Source organism: Homo sapiens, chromosome 9, assembly GCF_000001405.40.
Source record: "Homo sapiens chromosome 9, GRCh38.p14 Primary Assembly".
NCBI classification, from domain to species: domain Eukaryota; kingdom Metazoa; phylum Chordata; class Mammalia; order Primates; family Hominidae; genus Homo; species Homo sapiens.
In genome coordinates, this window is record NC_000009.12 from 38626872 (window position 1) to 38648830 (window position 21959).

The window sequence follows — 21959 nt, forward strand, 5'->3', positions numbered from 1 at the left end:
GTACCTCACCCTTCCAAATGTTGAGCCACTTCTCCAAGGGACAGTTCTTCGGCTGATTTTTGGTGTTTTATCTTCCGCCAGTAGTGAAATGAATGACATGACTTATGGCCCAAGGCTTTACTCAGAAGCTTGGTGCCTGTTACCAGCGCTGCTGGGAGCTCCTGAGGTAGACACAAAGGCCAGGTGTCAGGGAGACTACCCAAGAGCAAAGAGCCGGAGAGGGGAGGCATGTGCTGTTGGACAAAATTGCCATCACTAGGCGGGTACTGTGAATCCAACATAGATCTGAGTCAGGTTCCATATGCAGGGTTCGGGGTGAGTGCCTGGGATCACTCTGTGGCTGGAATTCTCCAGAAACCTGGTTTATACAGTGTAATTGAAACTTGAAGCAGCATCTGATGCACCTTAGATGATTAGAACTGATTAGAGGTTCTAGGCTGATTAGAACTAGGTGATTGGAACACGGTCTGGCTAGGAAGGAAGGGACCATGCGCATCAGGGCGGAGACTGCAGGTGGGCAGATGGCCATCACAGCCCAGCGGGCTGCCCTTTACTCTCCTCCAGGCCCAGGAGACTAAACACACTTGAGTCGCAACTGCCTCTGGGCGTGGGAACTGTGGTCTTGTTTCCAGTCACCTGTCCCAGCAAGAAGGAGCTTCCGTTGTGCTTGCAGACTTGACCTTACTAGTCTGGGCTGGGGAGTTCTGTGTCTGCCCATGGCTGGTCATTATTGTCTACAAAACCTGCTGTGTGATCTGTAAGAATTTTTGTGACTAGCTAGCTCAAGGGCATGATGACATGCCTATGCTATTGCTGAGGGAATATCTCTATTTTCAGGTGAAGATTGTTTCTAATTTTATGTTCAGAATTACATACAAGAGGCACAGTGGAGGTATATAAATGAAGATCCACCAGCATTCTTTCAAAATACTGAACCACATTTTCTGATAGACATTGGGGTGGGGTGGCTGCAAGCAGAATGTCTGGGTTGGCATTCTCATTCCACAGCTTCATGCGGTGTGATAGTGAGTAATTTACTTTCCCTCTCTGTGTCACAGTTTCCTATTCTCTAAAAACAGCTAATAATAATGACCTACCTTATAGACTGTTATGAAGATTGAATTAATTTATATATGTAAATAAGACTTGGAACATAAATTTTCTGCACATTTTTTTTTGTTTTTTTGAGACGGAGTCTCACTCTGTCGCCCAGGCTGGAGTGCAGTGGCCAATCTCGGCTCACTGCAATCTCTGCCTCTTGGGTTCACGCCATTCTCCTCCCTCAGCCTCCCGAGTAGCTGGGACTACAGGCACCCGCCACCATGCCCGGCTAATTTTTTGTATTTTTTTAGTAGAGGCGGGGTTTCGCCGTGTTAGCCAGGATGGTCTCAATCTCTTGACCTCGTGATCCGCCCGCCTCGGCCTCCCAAAGTGCTGGGATTACAGGCGTGAGCCAGCGGGCCCGGCCGATTTTCTGTAAATGTTAGCCATTGTTATTGCTCCTATTGACCTGAAGTATAAAAACAGAAATGTGACCCTGGTCCTTGACCTTGGGTGGAATCACATGATAAGCAATAGTTTAGGGAAAATGTTTGTACCGGGTATTTTCATTATTCAAAATATTATTAATAATAATGTGCTATTAAGATAATGTTACAAAATTAAAATATTGAAAAGAAGCCTCTGGTACAGAATCAGAAAGTCTTACTGTGCATGTGTGTATTTTGACTTTCTATAATTCCTCTGTCAATCATAAGCTTTGCAGATTTCAGTTATCTGGGTCAACTTGCCAGTAGTAACTGCTTTGGTCTCCCCATCTCTAACGCACCTCATGATCTATTTGCTGTCCTGCTGCTACAGTAACCCTGCTACAGTTCTCTTACCTGAAGATCTTCCTTTCCCAGGAAAACATTTCACACTTTCCCTGACAACACATCACACACACACACACACACACACACACACACACACACACCATAAACACCCCCCATACACACACACCACACACCAAAAACTCACACATTCTACACACATCACACACATGAACACCCCAGCACACACATATTCATACCACAAATACCACACACACCACACACACATCACACCCACCACCTACACTAACATACATACCACACACACACCAAACACACATTCCACACACATACTCTGAACACCCCAATACACGCACACTCATACCACATGCACACCACACACATCAAACTCATACACACTGCACTCACTTCCTACATCCACACACACCACATACACACACCACATGCATCACACACACACACAAACACTCCCGCATACACTCACACTCACAGTATTAAACAATACCACACACTGATGCATTCCACACACACACACCATAGACACCCCAATACACACATACTCATACCACACATACCACACATACCACCCCCACACACACCACATGCACATCACGCACACTCTCACAAATACAACACTCACTACCTCCACTCACACACATGCCACATACACACACACCATACACACCACATGCATAAAACACACACCAAAAACACTCCCTATACACTCACACTCACGTACCACACATAAAACACACACACATTCCACACACACACCGTGAACATACACACACTCATCACACACACCACACACATCACACAAACTCTCACACACCACTCCTACACACACACCACATACACAGACACCACACACACCACCGCCATCCCTGATACACTCACACTCACATACCACAAACACACCACACACACCTTCCACACACACACACCACAAACATCCCCCATACACCCACATACCACACACACACCACACACTCCACACACACACCATGGACACCCCATGCATACACTCAGATCACACCCACACACCAAGCCCACTACACTCCATATATACTCACATACGCCACATAAACACAAACCACCCACACCCACACACACACACATCACACTCACTCCTTGAAACGCTTCTCTTCACTCACTGATCCCTTCCTGACCCTAATCCACACCCACCGGGCTCCCCAGGCTTTCTTCCACCAGGACCTCCATAGCCCCTCCCTCCAGGGACTTCTCTCCACTCTAGGCTCCCTATGGAGCCTCCGTTCCTTCTGCAGCTCTCGCTCCCCACCTCCCCATGCATTTGCCTCACTGATTGCGCTGGACCATCTTGGTGGTTTTTCCAGTGTGTCCCCCGTGGTAGGTCTCCTCACATACACTGCAGGCCCCTTTTGACAAGCCCACATCCTGGCACCGGCAGTTCCTTGGGCATTGTACATCCCTGCACGTAGGACCGCGTCTGGCACACAGTGTGCACTCAGCTATAATTTCAGAGCGTGAATGCTCACAGGTATTAGGATCAACGTTCAGAAGGTGCTTTCCTTTTTACTGAACCTGTGGCCTACTTGATTTACCTGATAGCTTGTAATTCAGTTCATTAAATTTCTGTTAAAATATTAATACACCAGGTGAATCTCAATATTATTGCTGCAAATTATGTTTTCATTAAGATGGACAAAGACTATTAATAAGCCACATTTGCAGGGCACTGAGTTAGAGAATTAGCCTAGAAGACTGAAGTCTTCAGTGATTTCTGTTTATATCAACATACAGAAGAAAAAGGATAGAAACGACAAGCGTATAGAAATGAGATTAGAAACTGAAAAAAATTAATAGTTTTGTAAAATTAGCTAGGTGATGTACAAATTCCATATAAAATCTCTATTTTTCATTTGGGGTGCAGTGTCTCAGGATTTTTGCTTCCTAACTGACTAATTGGAGTGTTGTACCATGATTACATTGCCAAGACTAATAGCATCTGCACTAAATATTTTTTTGAGATTTTGTTGAGGTTTACTTGACATATACAGAAAAGCGCACATTGAAAATGTGCAGGCTGGGGGCGGTGGCTCACAGCTGTAATCCCAGCACTTTGAGAGGTCAACACAGGATGATTGATTGAGTCCAGCAGTTTGAGACCACCCCGGGTAACACAGAAAAAAACCCTCTCTCTACAAAAAATACAAAAATGAGCAGGACATGGTGGCCCGCACCTGTGGTCCCAGTTACTTGGGAGGTGGAGGTGGGAGGATAGCTTGAGCCCGAGAGGTCGAGGCTGCTGTGAGCCATGATTGCACCACTGCACTCCATGCATCCTGCCTGGGAGACAGAGTGAGATCCTGTGTTTTACTAAATAAATAATAAAAGGTTCAATTTGGTAAGTTTTAACGTAGGTATAGAACTCTGAAACCATTACAACCATCAAGATTACCAACATATTTCTTGTTTTCTTTTTTTTGGGGGGGGATGGGGGGAGAGTGTTTGGCTCTGTCACCCAGGCTGGACTACAGTGACACAATCTTGGCTTACTGCAATGTCTGCTTCCCAGGCTCAAGCGATCCTGCCTCCTTAGCCTCCCCAGTAGCTGGGACCACAGGAGTGTGCCACCACACCCTGCTCATTTTTGTGTCTTTTGTTTGTTTGTTTGTTTGTTTGTTTGGTGTGTGTGTAGGCACTGGGTCTCCCTGTGTTACCTGGGCTGGTCTCGAACTCCTGGGCTCAAGCGCTGCACCCACCTCGGCCTCCCAAATCACGCCGGGATTACAGGCGTGAGCCCCCGTGCCCAGCTATACATATAATTTCTAAGCACTTTCTTGCTTCTCTTTCCCTCCCACTTCTCCCAGCCTTCCCCATTCGCATGCAACAACTGGAAATAATTTTGATTTAGAATATAAACACACTTTATATGTCTAAAGAGATAACAGGGAAAATGGAAATAGTAAGAGACTTATTTTTTATATCAAAATTATCAAGTAAAATTGAAAAAGAACAGTATTTAGAATGAAAATTGAATTACAGAAATGAAGAATTTAGTGGATTCTGAAACAGCAGATCAAACGTACATGAAGAGAGACTCAGCAAATTAGAAGAAAGCTCTGAAATGGCTGGGAGCAGTGGCTCACGCCTGTAATCCCAGCACTTTGGGAGGCCGAGACGGGCAGATCACGAGGTCAGGAGATCGAGACCATCCTGGCTAACACGGTGAAACCCCGTCTCTACTAAAAATACAAAAAAATTAGCCGGGTATGGTGGTGGGCACCTGTAGTCCCAGCTACTGGGGAGGCTGAGGCAGGAGAATGGTGTGAACCCAGGAGGCAGAGCTTGCAGTGAGCCGAGATCGCGCCACTGCACTCCAGCCTGGGTGACAAAGCAAGACTCAGTCTCAGAAAGAAAAAAGAAGAAGAAGAAGAAAGCTCTGAAATAATTAACCAGCATGCACAATAAAGAGACAAGAATTGGGAAATGTGGAAGAGATGTTAAGGGATGGGGGGAAGAGGAAACACTGGAGAGATAATCTGCAGGAATGTCCATCTATGTGACTAGAGATGGGCACTGTTGCTGTAGCATTGTACAGCATCGCACTGTCGAAGGGAAAGCATCTCTACAATGAGAAATTGTATGGGTTCATTCACAAAATGTTTTGTCTAGTCTAGAAATATTATGTCTCTTTATCACAAACTCTCCTTTTAAAAATATAGGTAATTATACATTAAGAGAATTTTGTAAAGAACAGTATGCATAGCTGAAATATATTTGGCATCATTTATTGAACACTCCCTCTGCATATTAAAGTCTGGGTCACACAAACAAAATAGTCACATAGGGGCTGCTGTCAGCCAGTGAAAAGAAATACTAAATCTATTGACTGAACTCAACACGCTGACAGAAAGGCATGCTGAAATAGACAATGTGGAAGAAAAAGTCAATTCAACCAAAACAAATGTCCCTAATCAAATAGGAAGCTTGGCTTTCAGCAAAGTAATTTCGGGAAAATGAACACATGATTTAACCCCTCAATCATATCATTTGTCTATCAACCCAACGTTCTCACCTTAGGCAGCACAGAGTACCAGATTCTTCAAGGAAGATGAACAACCGTCATTACATGGGAATAACTCATGCAATGTTACACACCGATTGAAAAAGGAAAAGTATTTCTGTGAATGATGTGCAGTAACTAAATCAATTTTTTTTTTTTTTTTTTTTTTTTTTTTTTTTTTGAGACGGAGTCTCGCTCTTTCGCCCAGGCTGGAGTGCAGTAGCGCTATCTCGGCTCACTGAAAGCTCCGCCTCCCTGGTTCACGTCATCCTTCTGCCTCAGCCTCCTGAGTAGCTGGGACTACAGGCGCTCGCCACCACGCCTGGATAATTCTTGTATTTTTAGTAGAGATGGGGTTTCACCATGTTGGCCAGGCTGGTCTAGAACTCCTGACTTCGTGACCCGCCTGCCTCAGCCTCCCAAATTACAGGCATGAGCCACTGTGCCTGGCATATGTATTTCTTTCTGAAGATTTGTTTTTGTTGGCAAGATTGTTCTTTTTTGTTTGCTTGTTTTGTTTGCTTATTTGTTCGATGATATATTTTTCTTTCTTCCCTATATGCACATTTATTGAAGTGTAGCAAACTAAAAAGTGCACAGATCATGAATGTCTAGCTCCACGTATTTTTCCAAGGCGAACCACCACGCAGATTAACTCTTAAGAGAATTATCAGCACCCTTCAAAGCCTTCTTGTATCTTCTCCCAGTCACAATTCTTTCCTCCCATCTTGCCAAACTATAAGTTAGTTTTATATCTTTTTTAAACCTTTTTATAAGTGAAATCGTCCTATGTATACTATTTTGTTCAACATTATGTTAGTGAAATATATTCGTGTTATTGTTTGTAGTAGTGTTTCGTTTACTTCAATATCTACATAGAATTCCCATTGTGTGTAAATACAAATAGGGGATGGTTAATATTTTTAAATTCTTGAAATTTTTATTGAAATAATTGTAGATACACATGCAGTAGGTAGTGCAAAATAATACAACGAGATCACATGTATTCTTTACCTGGTTTCCCCCAATGGTAACATTTTGCAAAACTATAACAACCAGGACATTGACATTGATACAATCTACCAGCCTTGTTAAAACTTTCCGTGTTTTATTTGTATTTTGTGTGTCCATGTGTGCACATAGCTCTCTATAACTATGCCACACGTCTTGGCTCCTGAATCCACCACCACAGTCAACCCAGGGCAGCCTATCCCCTCAGAATTCTCTGGTGCTGTGCCTTGAAAATCACACCGACCCCCTTGCAATGCCCCCCTCCACTGTCCCTAATCCCTGGCAACTCCCAATCTGTCTCCATCTCTAAATTTTTCGTTAAAAAATGTCATACAAATGAAATCATAGTGTTTAACATTTTGGGATTCGACTTGTTTTACTTGGCTTAATTCCCTGGAGATTTGCCCCAGTTCTTGTTTATACCAATAGTTTGTTCCTTTTTATTGCTGGGTAAGTATGTCATGTTGTGGATATACCACAGCTTGCTGAAGCATTCACCTGATTAAGAATATTTGGGCTGATACTATTTTTGACAGACGACACCTGAAGCTGCTATGGACACGTCTGTGCAGGTTTTTGTGTGAACGTAAATCTTCATTTATCTGAGATAAAAGCCAAAGAGTGCAATGGCTGCATTGTATAAATCACATGCTTAGTTTTTAAGGAATCTACCAAATTATTCCCCAGACTGGTTGTACCATTTTACATTCCCACCAGCAATGTGTGAGCACCCCACATTCTCTGGATTCTCAACAGGCATTTGGTGGTGTCAGCATTTATTTTTAAGTTTCTCTAATAGCTATGTGCATTTAACTGATCGCTAATGATTTAAAACACTGTCTCACATGTTTATTTTCCATCTATACCTCCTCTTTAATGAGAGGATCCTCTTTTCTTCTTTCTAAATATCAAGAGCTCTTTTTATATATTGTAGCATAGATCCTAGTCCTTTGTCAGAAAATAGCATTTTTTATTTAAATACGGTCAATTTTGGTAAGGGTCCCACATGCACTTACAACAAATTATATTCTGTAAGTATTGGTTGCAGGGCTTTCTGTGTGTCAAGTTTGTAATCAAGTTGTTCAAATTGACATTTCTATTGATTGTTTTGTCTGATTGGAGCATCAGTTTTAGAGAGGTAAGTTAAAATCTTTATAATGTTGAATGTTCTTATTTTGGTTTGCAGTTTGGTCAATTTCTGTGTTCCATATTTTGAGAATATATTATTATTTAAAGCTTACAAATTTAGGATTGTCATATCACTCTCTTTGATGGCTGTTATTCTTTTTTTTTTCTTTTTAGCAATATATCTTGCATTAATGTCAACTTTGACTTATGATTATAAAGCTATACATTTTTTTTTCCTTCTCTTGTTTGGTCTTTACAAAGAATATCTTTTTCTAACCTTTGACTTTCAACTATTCTACGTATGCCTACTTAATGTTTGTTTCTTGTAAGTATAAAAGAGTTGTTTTATTTTCACCCAATCAGTTTTACTATTTATTTAGAATGTAATTACTGATAAATTAGAGGTTTTTATTGCTTTTTCTTTTTGATTAATAAACTTCTTTTTAATTATCTTTTTTGTCTGTTAGCTTGTTTCACTTTCCCAACATTTCAAGGACGCCATTCTGTTTACCTCCTTTGTGTATATTGAGACACTGTCTGTCAGCCTTATATTAATATTTTCTCTTTTGAAAATAACATTTCTTTGTTTGTGCTGCTTTTAAAATCTTTTCCTTGCCCTGTTTTTCTGCATACTTATTATAATGTACTAGGTGAAGTTTTTCTTAAATTAATTTGCCTGCTTTGTAGAATTTCTTAAATCTCTCTTTTACTGTCTATTGTCAGTTTGGGGAAATTCTTGGTGATATTGTCTTAAAATATTGCTTATGTCCCAATTCCTCTCTCCCTTTCTTCTGGAACTTCAATTACACAGATATTTTCTGTACATTCTATCAATTTTTTTCTGCTTCACTTAAAATGTTTTCTACTAATCTATCTTCCAACTCAACCCATATGTATGCATTTTGTATTTCAGATATTTATTTTCAATTCTGAATTTCTATTTGATTCATTATGGTTTCCAGTTTTCTGCCAAAAATCTGGATCATTTGTTTCTTTTCTAAAACACATGAATCATAGTTAACTATTAAAGTTCCTGTTATTATTGATAACAGTGGTATCCAGAAACCCTGCTCCCTTTTTTTTTTTTTTTTTTTTTTTTTTTTTTGAGACGGAGTCTCGCTCCGTCGCCCAGGCTGGAGTGCAGTGGAGCAATCTTGGCTCACTGCAAGCTCCGCCTGCCGGGTTCACGCCATTCTCCTGCCTCAGCCTCCTGAGTAGCTGGGACTACAGGCACCCGCCACCACGCCCGGCTAATTTTTTGTATGTTTAGTAGAGACGGAGTTTCACCATGTTAACCAAGATGGTCTCGATCTCCTGACCTCGTGATCCGCCTGCCTCCGCCTCCCAAAGTGTTGGGATTACAGGCGTGAGCCACCGCGCCCGGCCCCTGCTCCTTTCTTATTGTGTCTCTCTTGGTGTTGGGTCATGGGATGCTGTTTCTGGATGTTTCAGGTGAGTTTGCGTTGATACCCAAGCTTGGCTGTGCATTCTTGTCTTCTCCAGAGAGGACTTGGTTTTCTTCTGGCAGTCAAAGGACCGCCTTGATCCAGTCAGTCAAGGGAGTGAATCAAGACTACATTTCAGCCTAGTGACTTTCCCAGTGCTTATCTCTTTTTAAGTCACGACTCCAGAGACTGTGATTTTTCCAAGCAGATCTCCTTTGAAAGATAGGCCATGAACTCCCACCTCTGTCTCCCAGGACCCACAATTCCAAATGCTCTGTTAAGCTTTCTAGACCACTGAAAGCACCTCTTTTATTTGGTTCCTTTGCTTCTAATCTTAGAAAAAAAAAATAGGATTGGGTAAATCTATCAAGAACCGAAAGCCAGGCAGATGTCAGGCTCACTCTCTTGTAATTCTTCCTAGATAATAGGTCCTTCAAACTCTCACTGCTTGATAGCCCAGTTCAGGGGCTCTCATATCCTGTGTCTCCCAAAACCACTTTATCTGAGCTGCAGATTCCTGTTTGACTGCAATGCCCTAAACTGAAACTCAGCAGCAAATCCCCTGAAAGGAAAATGATTTGCAAAATGTGAAAATAATCTTAATAGATATGCAGATATGCCTGTGTCTTGATTTTATTTTAATTTTTAATTTTTTTTTATTTTTTATTTTTTTTGAGGCGGAGTCTCTCTCTGTCGCCCAGGCTGGAGTGCAGTGCCGCAATCTCGGCTCACTGCAAGCTCCCCCTCCCAGGTTCATGCCATTCTCCTGTCTCAGCCTCAGCGTAGCTCCTGCCTCAGCTCCCAGACTAGCTGGGACTACAGACGCCCGTCACCATGCCCAGCTAATTTTTTGTATTTTTAATAGAGACGGGGTTTCACCGTGTTAGCCAGGATGGTCTCAATCTCCTGACCTCGCGATCTGCCCGCCTCGGCCTCCCAAAGTGCTGGGATTACAGCGTGAGCCACCGCGCCCGGCCGCCTGTGTCTTGATTTTTTTACTTTAAAAATCCTGTCTGCCTTTTATCATTCTCCTAGACTTTAAGAGATTTGCTTTTCTGTTATCATTATATTCAGATTTCAAAACTATTCTCAGTGGGAGTTAGATCTGAGATATTTGGGGCTGGGGGGGGGTTCCAGTTACAATTTTTTGTTTTGTTTTGTTTTGAGACTGAGTCACTGTCGCCCTGGCTGGAGTGCAGTGGCGCGATCTCGGCTCACTGCATCCTCCGCCTCCCGGTTCAAGCGATTCTCCTGCCTCAGCCTCCCGAGTAGCTGGGATTACAGGCGCCCACCACCATGCCCGGGTAATTTTTTGTATTTTTAGTAAGACGGGGTTTCAACATGTTGGTTAGGCTGGTCTCCGATTCCTGATCTTGTGATCTGTCCGCCTCGGCCTCCCAAAGTGCTGGGATTACAGGCGTGAGCCACCATGCCCGGCACCATTTTATTTTGTTTTGAGACAGGGCCTCGTTCTGTGACCCAGGCTGGAGTGCGATGGCATGATCACAGCTCACTGCAGCCTCGACCTGTTGTGCTCAAGCAATCATCCCTCCTCAGCCCCCCAAGTAGCTGGGACTACAGTCATGTGACACCACACCCAGCTAATTTTTTTTCTTTTTTTTTTTTTTTTTTTTTTTTTGTAGAAATTGGTTTTTGCCACGTTGCCTAGGGCTCAACTGTTCCTCTTTCCTCAGCTACCCAAAGTGCTGGGATTACAGGTGTGAGCCACTGAGCCTGACCCCAGTTACTCATTTTTCTATCTGGCTTAGTTTCTGTTTCTTTCTTTCCTTCTTTGGTTTACTATTCCTTAAGTTATGTGAACATATAAAGGAAAAAAAATGTATCTTAAGTCAAATTCGTGGCTTTGGGTGGAAGAAGAGGGAAGAAAGAAAATGTATTTTTGGCCAGACGTGGTGGCTCATGCCTGTAATCCCAGCACTTTGGGAGGCCAAGGTGGGCAGATCATGAGGTCAGGACTTTCAGACCAGCCTGGCCAATATGGTGAAACCCCATCTCTACTAAAAATACAAAAATTAGCCTGGCATGGTGGCATGCGCCTGTAGTCCCAGCTACTCGGGAAGCTGAGGCAGAAGACTTGCTTGAACCTGGAAAGCAGATGTTGCAGTGAGCTGAGATTGTGCCACTGCACTCCAGCCTGGGCGACAGAGTGAGATTCTGTTTCAAAAAAAAAAAAGTATTGTTTTATTATACATTTAAAGAAGAAAGTGTTCATAGCCATTGATTTTTCCCTACATGGTAATATATTCGTGGCACCTGGGTCACGTGGAATTATGGGAAGAGAGTCCTTTTCCCTTCTCCTAGGCTGGAGTGCAGTGGCACCATCTTGGCTCACTGAAAGCTCCGCTTCCCAGGTTCACACCATTCTCCTGCCTCAGCTGAGTAGCTGGGACTACAGGTGCCCATTACTACGCCCGGCTGATTTTTTGTATTTTTAGTAGAGGCGGGATTTCACCGTGTTAGCCAGGATGGTCTCGATCTCCTGACCTCGTGATCTGCCCACCTCGGCCTCCCAAAGTGCTGAGATTACAGGTGTGAGCCACCACACCCGGCCAGTCAGATCTGCATTCCCCACTTCCACTCGCTTCTCCGTTGTTACACGCCTTTGACTTTTGAGACTCATGCCACCATGCAACGTGACTCCACTGATGTCCATCATAGTCCTCTCCCTTCCTGTAGCCCTGGGCTTCTTGTCACTGCTCCCCATGGGCAGTCTGATAATTCTTGTAAAGTGACTCATGGTTCCTCGACTCTTTTGACCCAATAACTTTTCTCTCCACTCCACTGCAAGGTGTGACATCAAGATGCAAGATATGAAATGACTGGTCATACCTTGCAACTTGCTACACTTTATCATAAAAATCTTAAGCACCTGTCCACAGTGCCATATATTTTAACTGTCATATGCTTGCACTTCCTGAAACACTTTCCCAATACTTGGGGACCTCTATTAATGGTTTTGTCAAATTTTTACCCAGCCTAAAGAAAATAATTAAAATACATTCAGTGTAGCCTGAGTGTACTGTGTTTATAAAGTCAGCAATAGTGTACATTAATGTCCTAGGCCTTCATATTTACTCACCACTCACACACTGACTCACCCAGAGCAACTTCCAGTCCTGCAAGCTCCATTCATGGTAAGTGTCCTACATAGGTGTACCATTTTTTGTCTTTTCTACCATATTTTTACTACACCTTTTCTCTGTTTAGATATGTTTGGATATACAAACACTTACCATTGTAATACAATTGCCGGCAGTATTCCATATAGTAACATGTTATGCAGGCATATGGCCTAGGAGCTACAGGATATACCATATAGCGTAGGTGTGTAGTAGGCTTTATCATCTATGTTTGCGGAAGTGCACTCTGTGGTTCACACAGTGATGAAATTGCCTAACGACACATGTCTCGGAATGTATTACTGTCATTAAGAGATGCATGGCTTCATATATTTTTTACTCTGTTCTTATGCTTCTCTCTGTAGAACTCCAATGGCACAGATGTGTCATTGTATTGTTACACAGATCCTTAAGGCTATGCTCATTTTTCTTCAAACGTTTTTCCTCTCTGTTGCTTATATTGAATACTTTTTATTGATCTATCTTTAAGTTCATGGACTTTTTCCTTTGTCATTTCTATTCTGCTGTTGAGATCATCTTGTGAATTTTTAATTTCAGTGTTTTTATTTTTAGTTCTGAAGTGTAACTGTCTTTTCACTTGCAAGTTGAGATTTTCCTTGTTCTTTACATGCTGAACCATTTTGGATTATATCCTGAATATTTTGGATATTATCTTATGAGACTCTGGGTTTTGTTTAAAACGTCAGGACAATGTCTTTTGCTGTTGTTTTCAATGGCAATCGGCTAGGTCAGATTCAATATGCAAATTCCTCCAGTGGGCTGTAGTTCTATTGTGGTTCAGAGCCATGTGGTACAAGCACACAGAGAAAAAGAGCAGTGAAGAATCACTCTGAACTCCTGGAACCATAGATTCTCAGGTAAGAGAGAAGAGTTTCTTCCTTCAGAGTTGTAGGTGCTTCTTGTTGGTAGCTGTTGCTCTTTGCCCAGCTGCAACCACTGAATCACCAGCACAGTATTGCTTAGGTTATAAAGAAAGGAAAGCAGAAATATAGGAGGGAATTCATCCTCCTCTTTCTCACCTGTAGGGGCTCATTTTCCTTCCCCTCAGATCAGAAAGTGAGAGATCTTCGGGAATTCTTTTTGTCTGTAACCAGGATGTATTTCGTTTCTTTAAGCCTCCTCTGACTGGCCAGTTTTGCATGTTGCTTGTTTTCAGTTTTCAAAGTAAGAAAAATCCTATGATTCTCCTGATGCTTTATAAGTCTATGCTTTCAGATTAATGCGAAAGATTATTTAAAAACAAGCTTTCGGTAAAAATGAAGGGCATCCAAAGAAGCCTGCTTTCCACTTGGCTTCTGGCCATCTTTCCTTTCTGCGGGGGTTCAAGAGCTTGGAGGCATTGGATCTGGTATCAGAGCGGTCACCTTCCCCACTGATGGGGAAGCCCAGAGGCCTTAGGAATAAACGAAGCCCGTACTGAGGAAAGGGAAGCTGAGAGGACCGAGGAAACACCGACTTTACACGCCTGTGGACTGCAGGAACCATTTATGGCACGAGCGGGTCTTTACTTATTTATTTTTATTTTTAGATTTTACTTTAAGTTCTGGGATACATGTGCTGAACATGCAGGTTTGTTATATACACGGGTATACATGTGCCATGGTGGTTTGCTGCACCTATCAACCCGTCATCTAGGTTTTAAGCCCCACATGCATTAGGTATTTGTGCTAATGCTCTCCCTCCCCTTTTCCGCACCCCCTGACAGGCCCTGGTGTGTGATGTTCCCAGGAGTGGGAGTCTCTAAGGGGTGAAAGGAGAGAGAAAACACGCTGGGCTAGCACTCTGCTGAGTTCTGCACTGAGTTAGTGCCTAACTTTGTGCTGTCTGCAGCTGTCTCCCCTACTCCTGCCCCAGGGTTCACTTCCTAGAACAGAGCCCCGGGGAACCCGGGAGCTGTGGAAAGCCAGGTCTCCCTTGTGGTTCGGGAAACACAGAAATTCAGCTGACCAAGAGACGAAGAGAAGTAAAGCCAGCGCACGGAGGTAAGAAAGTGAACATAACTTCAGAGCGCTATCATCAGGCCTGGTGAGGCATGCTTGGATCTTGACACAAAAATCCCTCTTCGACTTGATCTGGCTCTAGTATGGATCTTTCACTTTAGCCCAAAGTGCCTCCTTGAACTCTCAAATGCATTCTGAGCTGAGCACGATGGTGATTTGGGGTCAATCATGATATTCCCCGTGGGGGATTTTCTCTCTCGGAGCGCAGACCTCGTGATGACCCCTGTGACCCACCTCCTAGAGCTGGGGGCTCCGGGGAATGCCTGACGTGCCTCAGGACAGAACAGGTGTGGTCCACCACCATTCGTGCTAACCATGGAAACAGGGTACATGGGGTATAGCTCAAGGGTGATGTGCAATTTTATCAGAAAATAAATGCTATTTATTCTAACACTGAAAACTGAATTAGGTCCTCATGCTTCTTTTCTTCTTTTTTTTTTTTTTTTTTTCCAGACTAGGTCTCACTCTGTCGTCCAGGCTGGAGTGTAGTGGCATAATCATGGCTCACTGCAGCCTCAACCTCCCTGGCTCAAGCCATCCTCCCGTCTCTCCTCATGTTTCTTATGTCTGATTGACAGGGCAATAAAAGCACATATCTGGCACCTCTCCTTGTCTGGGAGGACTGGCCACAGAGTCATTTTGCAGAAGTTGGAGAGGAGTGCACTAGATGGGGCTGTTGGCTTGCATTATACAATTCACACTGCAGGGGGTAGAGAATTGAATTTCACATTTGAGAAATGGGAAAGGAGGAAATAAAAAGATGGAATGCCCTAATCTTTCTGAAAATCCAAAAAAGGCCCAAGGAAAGCTAGTTCAATTATTCCTACCATGACAAACTATGATATGGTCAGACATGCGCACTCTGGCGGGGTGTTCCTAGCCTGGGCTGCCCAAGAGGTGGCAGCTGTTCTAGGACAGATGGAGTGTGGGCCCCTTTCCTGTAGTGAGCTGGGATCACTTAGGAATGACCATCAGCCCAGAGCCGTGGGGCTTATTAGATGCAGGGGTGAGTGGGGCTTGCAGGAAATGGCCCACCATCAGTGCTCTGATGTCCGAATGCCACTCTCGTCACCTCGAGATTAACATTTAGAGGGAGACCATCCTGTGTGGCCTATTGGTGAGACAGGGACTCAGAGGAACACAGGAACCACCCACACCCTCGCCCTGCCGTGGCTACCAGCTGCCCTGGCACACCTGGTTCCCTTTGAGTTCGCCATTCTCGTTGCCACATCCCATCCTTTTCCAGACACTTCTATTTTTCTCACACCTGGAAGTGACACCTGCTGGCAGTCTTCGGAATTTTCCAGAGAGTTGGCAACTTGGGGCTCATTTGTTTCTGCTCATTTTTATTTAGTTTTTCAGATGGGCTGTGCTGCGGGCAACACATGATAGTAGCTCATCAAAGAGAGGCTGTTTTTGGGAAGTGGAGCAGCCACCGCTGATTTTGGAGCTGGGGTAGCTGCCGCTGCCACAGCCACTGCAGCGGCCTAAGGAGTCAGCTTGGGAAGGTAGTGGTCACCAAGCTCAGAGCTGTGCTTGGAACTGACAATGGATAAAAGTGTGCTGGTACAGAAAGCCAGGCCCGCTGAGCAGGCTGAGCGCGGTGATGATGTGGCTGCAGCCGGGAAGGCAGCCATGCCACAGGGGCATGCGCCCCCAGCTGAAGACAGCAATCTGCCCTCTGCCGCCTACAAGAATACGGTGGGGCCCACTGTTCTTCCTGGATTCTCATCTCCAGCACTGAGCAGAGAACAGGAGGAATGAGAAGCAGCAGATGGGCAAAGAGTACCATGGAAGACAGAGGCAGAGCTGCTGGACATCTGCAATGAGGTTCCGGAGCTGTTGGACAAGTCTCTTATTCCCCATGCTACACAACCTGAAAGCAAGGCGTTCTCCTTGAAAATGAAAGGAGATTGTTTCGGGTATCTTTCTGGGGTGGCGTCTGGAGACAATAAACAAACCACACTGTTGAACTCCCAGCAGGCTTACCAGGAAACATCTGAAATTAGTAAGAAAGATATGCAGCCTACACACCCAATTCGACTGGGCCTGGCACTTAATTTCTCAGTCTTTTGCTACGGGATTCTAAACTCTCCTGAAAAGGCCTGCAGCCTGGCAAACGTGGCATTTGATGAAGCAATTGCTGAGTTGGATACACTGAATGAAGAGTCTTATAAAGACAGCACTCCCACCATGCAGTGACTTCGGGACAATCTCACTCTGGGGACATCGGGAAACCAGGGAGATGCAGGAGATGCTGGGGAGGGAGAGAACTGTGTCTGCCATGCCTCACAATCTGTTCAGTGTCACCCTGTACCATCCACGTAAATCCCTTTGTGTGATTAAAAAAAAAAAAGAATTGTACATTGTCTTGCGATTTTTCACAGCCTCAGCCTAGCAAGAATGGTTCGTGGGATAAACAGCTGGCACTTGTATCTAAAACCTAGATTGGTTGCATAAACACCATGGCATTCTGAAGTTTTGGTTTTGATTGACATTGGCAAGATTACTGTGTGTTTAATTTTCTTAAAGCTGAGCACTGTGGTGATGGGTTTTGTAATTCAGCATAATTCTTACTGATAAGAAAAATAGACCTGAATGTTATGTAACTCTTTGGAAAGTTTAATCCAATATTAAAATAGTCACTGAAATACAATTTCATTGTAAAGTTGTACAGAAAGTTACAGAGGTTATGTCGTGATGCTGGGATGTGGAGTGAGACACCATCATTTGGCATTCAAGTTTAATGGTAATTCACAGTGATGCTGCCTGTTCAGAGCTTATAGACACTGGACCTGTTTGGGCTATTGCCACTCAAAAGTTCATGACCACAAATGTCCACAGCGTCTTCCTCTGAGGAAATGCAAATCCTGAAGCTGAAATTCCTTGTGACAGATAACTGGCTGTGACACCTTGAAAAGTTCTGGTGCTCATATGACACACCTGACTAAACCCCCCTTCCTACAGCAATAGGAATATGTTACTGATTTGAAACTTGTGCCTCAATAATGGAATAGTTTTTCATTGTTAACACTGAGCTAGTGCTGTAAATGCTGTCTGTTTTATGAATGCTCTTTTCTGTTTCCTGGCTAATATCTCCTTCTTTTTTTTTTTTTTGGTGTGAGGAATTTAATAAGATAATGCATACAAAGTGCTCAGAACCCCAGCAGATACACGGCATTCACTGAGTGTTAGCCAGTCTCATTATAGCACAGATGTCCCTTCCCCCACATGCCTTTGCCCCACATTCCTGGATAATACCTTTAAGAATAATGTTCTGAGTCAGGCATGGTGGTGTGTGCCTGTGGTTCCAAATACTTGGGAGGCTGAGGCAGGAGGATCACCTGAGCCCGGGAGTTTAAGGCCATAGTGTCCTGTGGCTGCCCCTGTGAATAGCCACTGCACTCCCACATGGGCAACATAGCAAGACCTTGACTCCAACAAAACAGAAGAATGTTCTGTAGAGATTGCCTTTCACTTCAGGAGTGCTCAGTTTTCATGTTCTTCCTAGATTGGGGCTTTTATTTATTATTATATTATGTTTTATTTTATTTACTTATTCATTAATTAATTAGTTAATTTTGAGACAGGGTCTCCCTCTGCGGCCCAGGCTGGAGTGCGGTGGCACAATCTTGGCTCACTGCAACCTCTGCCTCCTGGGTTCAAGCAATTCTCCCGCCTCAACCTCCTGAGTAGCTGGAATTACAGGCACGTGACACCAAAGGCCACCTAATTTTTGTATTTTTAGTAGAGATGGGGATTTATCTTTTTTTTTTTTTTTTTTTGAGATGGAGTCTTGCTCTGTCGCCCAGGCTGGAGTGCAGTGGCGAGATCTCGGCTCACTGCAAGCTCCGCCTCCCGGGTTCAGGCCATTCTCCTGCCTCAGCCTCCTGAGTAGCTGGGATTACAGGTGCGTGCCACCATGCCCAGCTAATATTTTGTATTTATAATAGAGATGGGGTTTCACTATGTTGGTCAGGCTGGTCTTGAACTCCTGACCTCGTGATCTTCCCCGTCTTGGCCTCCCAAAGTGCTGGGATTACAGGCATGAGTCACTGTGCCTGGCCTTTTGTTCACTTTTTTTTTTTTTTGAGACAGAGTCTCTGTCACCCAGGCTGGAGTGCAGTGGTGCAATCTCGGCTCACTGCAAGCTCCACCTCCCAGGTTTACGCCATTCTCCTGCCTCAGCCTCCCGAGTAGCTGGGACTACAGGCGCCCACCACCAAGCCTGGATAATTTTTTTTTTTTTTTTTTTTTTTTTTTTTTGTATTTTTAGTAGAGATGGTGTTTCACTGTGTTAACCAGGATAGTCTCGATCTCCTGACCTCGTGATCTGCCCGCCTCGGCCTCCCAAAGTGCTGGGATTACAGGCGTAAGCCACCACACCTGGCCTGTTCACTTTGTAATGCTATATATGGGCAGGGGTGAGAGACATGAGTCAGCACCTTGGTGAGCAAACCTTGCTTTAAAGAGTTGAGAAGAGCTGCCCGCACCACAGCTCTGCCTTCCTCCAGTTCTCAACACAGTGTTGCTCTGCAATCACACCATGATCTGAATCAAAAAAGTATTTTTAAATACCCAGGATTTCTGCCTGTATTGAGGCTGACCCTGATCATGCTTGCAAGTACCTGTCACCAAGTGTCCCAAGTGCACTCATCCAGCTCAGCTCTCAGAAGTGCCTAAACAAGACGCTACCACTCAGGGCAGTTGTGTGGACACTGCAGGGGAGAGGCTGGAGAGGATCCAGGCCCATCAGTGTCCCAGGGTTTCCCCTCCACCTCTGACATTCCACCTGGCTGCAGGGTCCATCTGTTTGTCCATCTGCGGAAACAAGAAAAGAAAAATTCATGCACTGACTTAAAAAAAAACCAAAAAAGACAAAACAGTCTCTATTAAAAATACAAAAAGAAAAAAAAAATTAGCCGAGTGTGGTGGCGGGCTCCTGTGGTCCCAGCTACTTGGGAGGCTGAGGCAGGAGAATGGCATGAACCCGGGAGGCGGAGCTTGCAGTGAGCTGAGATCGCGCCACTGCACTCCAGCCTGGGCGACAGAGTGAGACTCCACCTCAAAAAAAAAAAAAAAAAAAAAAAAAAAAAAAAAAAGAAAGAAAGAAAAAGAAAAAGAAAAAACAACACTAAAAATCCCTCTTTTTTTTTTTTGAGACGGAGTCTCACTCTGTCGCCCAGGCTGGAGTGCAGTGGCGCGATCTCGGATCACTGTAAGCTCCGCCTCCCGGGTTCACGCCATTCTCCTGCCTCAGCCTCCCAAGTAGCTGGGACTACAGGCGCCCGCCACCAACGCCCGGCTAATTTTTTGTATTTTTAGTAGAGACGGGGTTTCACCGTGTTAGCCAGGATGGTCTCGTTCTCCTGACCTCGTGATCCGCCCTCCTCAGCCTCCCAAAGTGCTAGGATTACAGGCAGGAGCCACCGCGCCCGGCTCTCCTTTCTAGCTGAACAAAAGAATGTGCTTTCGGTTAATACCTGCTGCTTGAAAATGAGTAGTGAATGTGCAACCAAGCTTGTCTTGTGTATCTGGTAGCTTTGTTTTTCCTTACCAGTTTTCTGCCTAATGTTTGCTTCTGTGATGGTTCTATTGCCTAGCAAGCATACCTGTTTTTGGGAAAATAGAATAGCAAAAAAAAAAAAAAAAAAGAAAAGAAAAGAAAAGAAAAAATGCCTGGTTATTGATTTACTAGGTGTGTGTATGTCTTTTAAACAGTTATTGTTTTACCTTACATGGAATAATCAAGAAAAGTGTAAAAATTCAAAAGTGAAATAAAAATTTTAGCAGTTAAGAGAGACTTTTAATTTTCCTTTTTAGGTGGCACTTAGAACGCTTCAATTATATATTCTATTATTACATGTGGATGTTAGCCAATTAACCTGTTGAGTAAAAGGCTTGACTTCCTTACATCCATTTAAAAAATTTAGTTTCCATTTTTGTGCGTACAGAGTAGGTGTATATATTTATGGGGTAATGAGATATTTTGACACAGGCATGCAATCAATGCATTGCAGCAAGGCAAATGGGGTATCCTCTTCACTTTTATTTATTATTTTTATTTTATTTTATTTTTTGAAATGGAGTCTTCCTCTGTTGCCCAGGCTAGAGTGCAGTAGTGGCACGATCTAGGCTCACTGCAGCCTCTGCCTCCTGGGTTCAAGCAATTCTCCTGCCTCTGCCTCCCAAGGATCTGGGATTACAAGCATGCACCACCACACCTGGCTAATTTTTGTATTTTTAGTAGAGATGGGGTTTCACCATGTTGGTGAACAGGCTGGTCTCGAACTCCTGACCTCAAGTGATCCTCCCACTTTGGCCTCCCAAAGTGCTGGGATTAGAGGCATGAGCCACCACGCCTGGCTTTCCCCTTTACTTTTAAATGAGAAATATTTTTCTACTTTTTCCATCATGGAGTTTATGATTTAAAACAGAAGATGGAAAGCCATCTTACTCTCCTGCACTTACTGTACTATTAGGTTCATTTAAAAGAAAACATATTTCTTGACGATATTGGCTGCCCAAGTTTTAAAATCTGTGTGGAAAGGTATCCCATTAAGAGGTTTTGGATTATGAATTTTAGGGAAGTTATTCACTGGACACAGCTAGGTGCCCTGTTGTGTATTGTTGCAAAGTATGAAGACTTTGTTTGGATCTTGCCCCATTATACATATTTTTCTCTCTTTGGAGTCTTTAAAATCTACCGGGTGAATATATGGTGAGGACAAGGCAAATGTGCCCTGCCTGTAACATGCCAATTTAACTGCTCATGGCATTTGTGAATGATGTGGAATGAAAAGTGAGGGGAGAGTGAAGTGTGGGGATGGAAATCTCGAGAGCTGGTCTTGACGAGGTGTGCCTTGCAACAGTCAGGCCAGGCATGGTGGCTCATGCCTGCAAGCCTAACACTTTGGGAGGCTGAGCGGGGAGGATCACTTGGGGCCAGGAGCTCAGACCAGCCTGGGCAACACAGCAAGTCTGTCTCTACAAAATAAGAATGAAAATAAAAATTACCAGGGTATGGTGGTGCCTGTGGTCCCAGCTACTTGGTTGGCTGAGGTGGGAGGATCCCTTGAGCCTAGAAGTTCAAGAGTACAGTGAGCCCTGATGGTGCCACTGCATTCTAGCCTCGGTGACAGAGCAAGACCTTGTCTCTAAAAAATAAAAAATAAAGAGCAAACCTATGTGAATGGTGGAGTTCATTGGCTTTGTTCAAAGACGGGGATCACTTACAAAAGGGGGACCCCTTGCTGCTAGATTAGCGTGGCTCCATTGTGACGTGTTTTCAGAACTCCTGCATGTTGCCATTATGGAGGGTTGCTGTGGCTATT

General features: G+C 43.9%; 1 pseudogene, besides 2 other annotated features; it reads left to right on the forward strand.

Annotated features, from left to right (window-relative positions):
• Window positions 15693–16194: an enhancer, noted in NCBI's record as "H3K4me1 hESC enhancer chr9:38642561-38643062 (GRCh37/hg19 assembly coordinates)". NCBI's record gives its function as "activates a minimal SCP1, AML or CMV promoter by ChIP-STARR-seq in naive H9 embryonic stem cells {active_cell/tissue: H9 hESC(naive)}" and the evidence as "EXISTENCE:reporter gene assay evidence [ECO:0000049][PMID:30033119]".
• Window positions 16169–17078, forward strand: YWHABP1 (tyrosine 3-monooxygenase/tryptophan 5-monooxygenase activation protein beta pseudogene 1; annotated as a pseudogene).
• Window positions 16195–16694: an enhancer, noted in NCBI's record as "H3K4me1 hESC enhancer chr9:38643063-38643562 (GRCh37/hg19 assembly coordinates)". NCBI's record gives its function as "activates a minimal SCP1, AML or CMV promoter by ChIP-STARR-seq in naive H9 embryonic stem cells {active_cell/tissue: H9 hESC(naive)}" and the evidence as "EXISTENCE:reporter gene assay evidence [ECO:0000049][PMID:30033119]".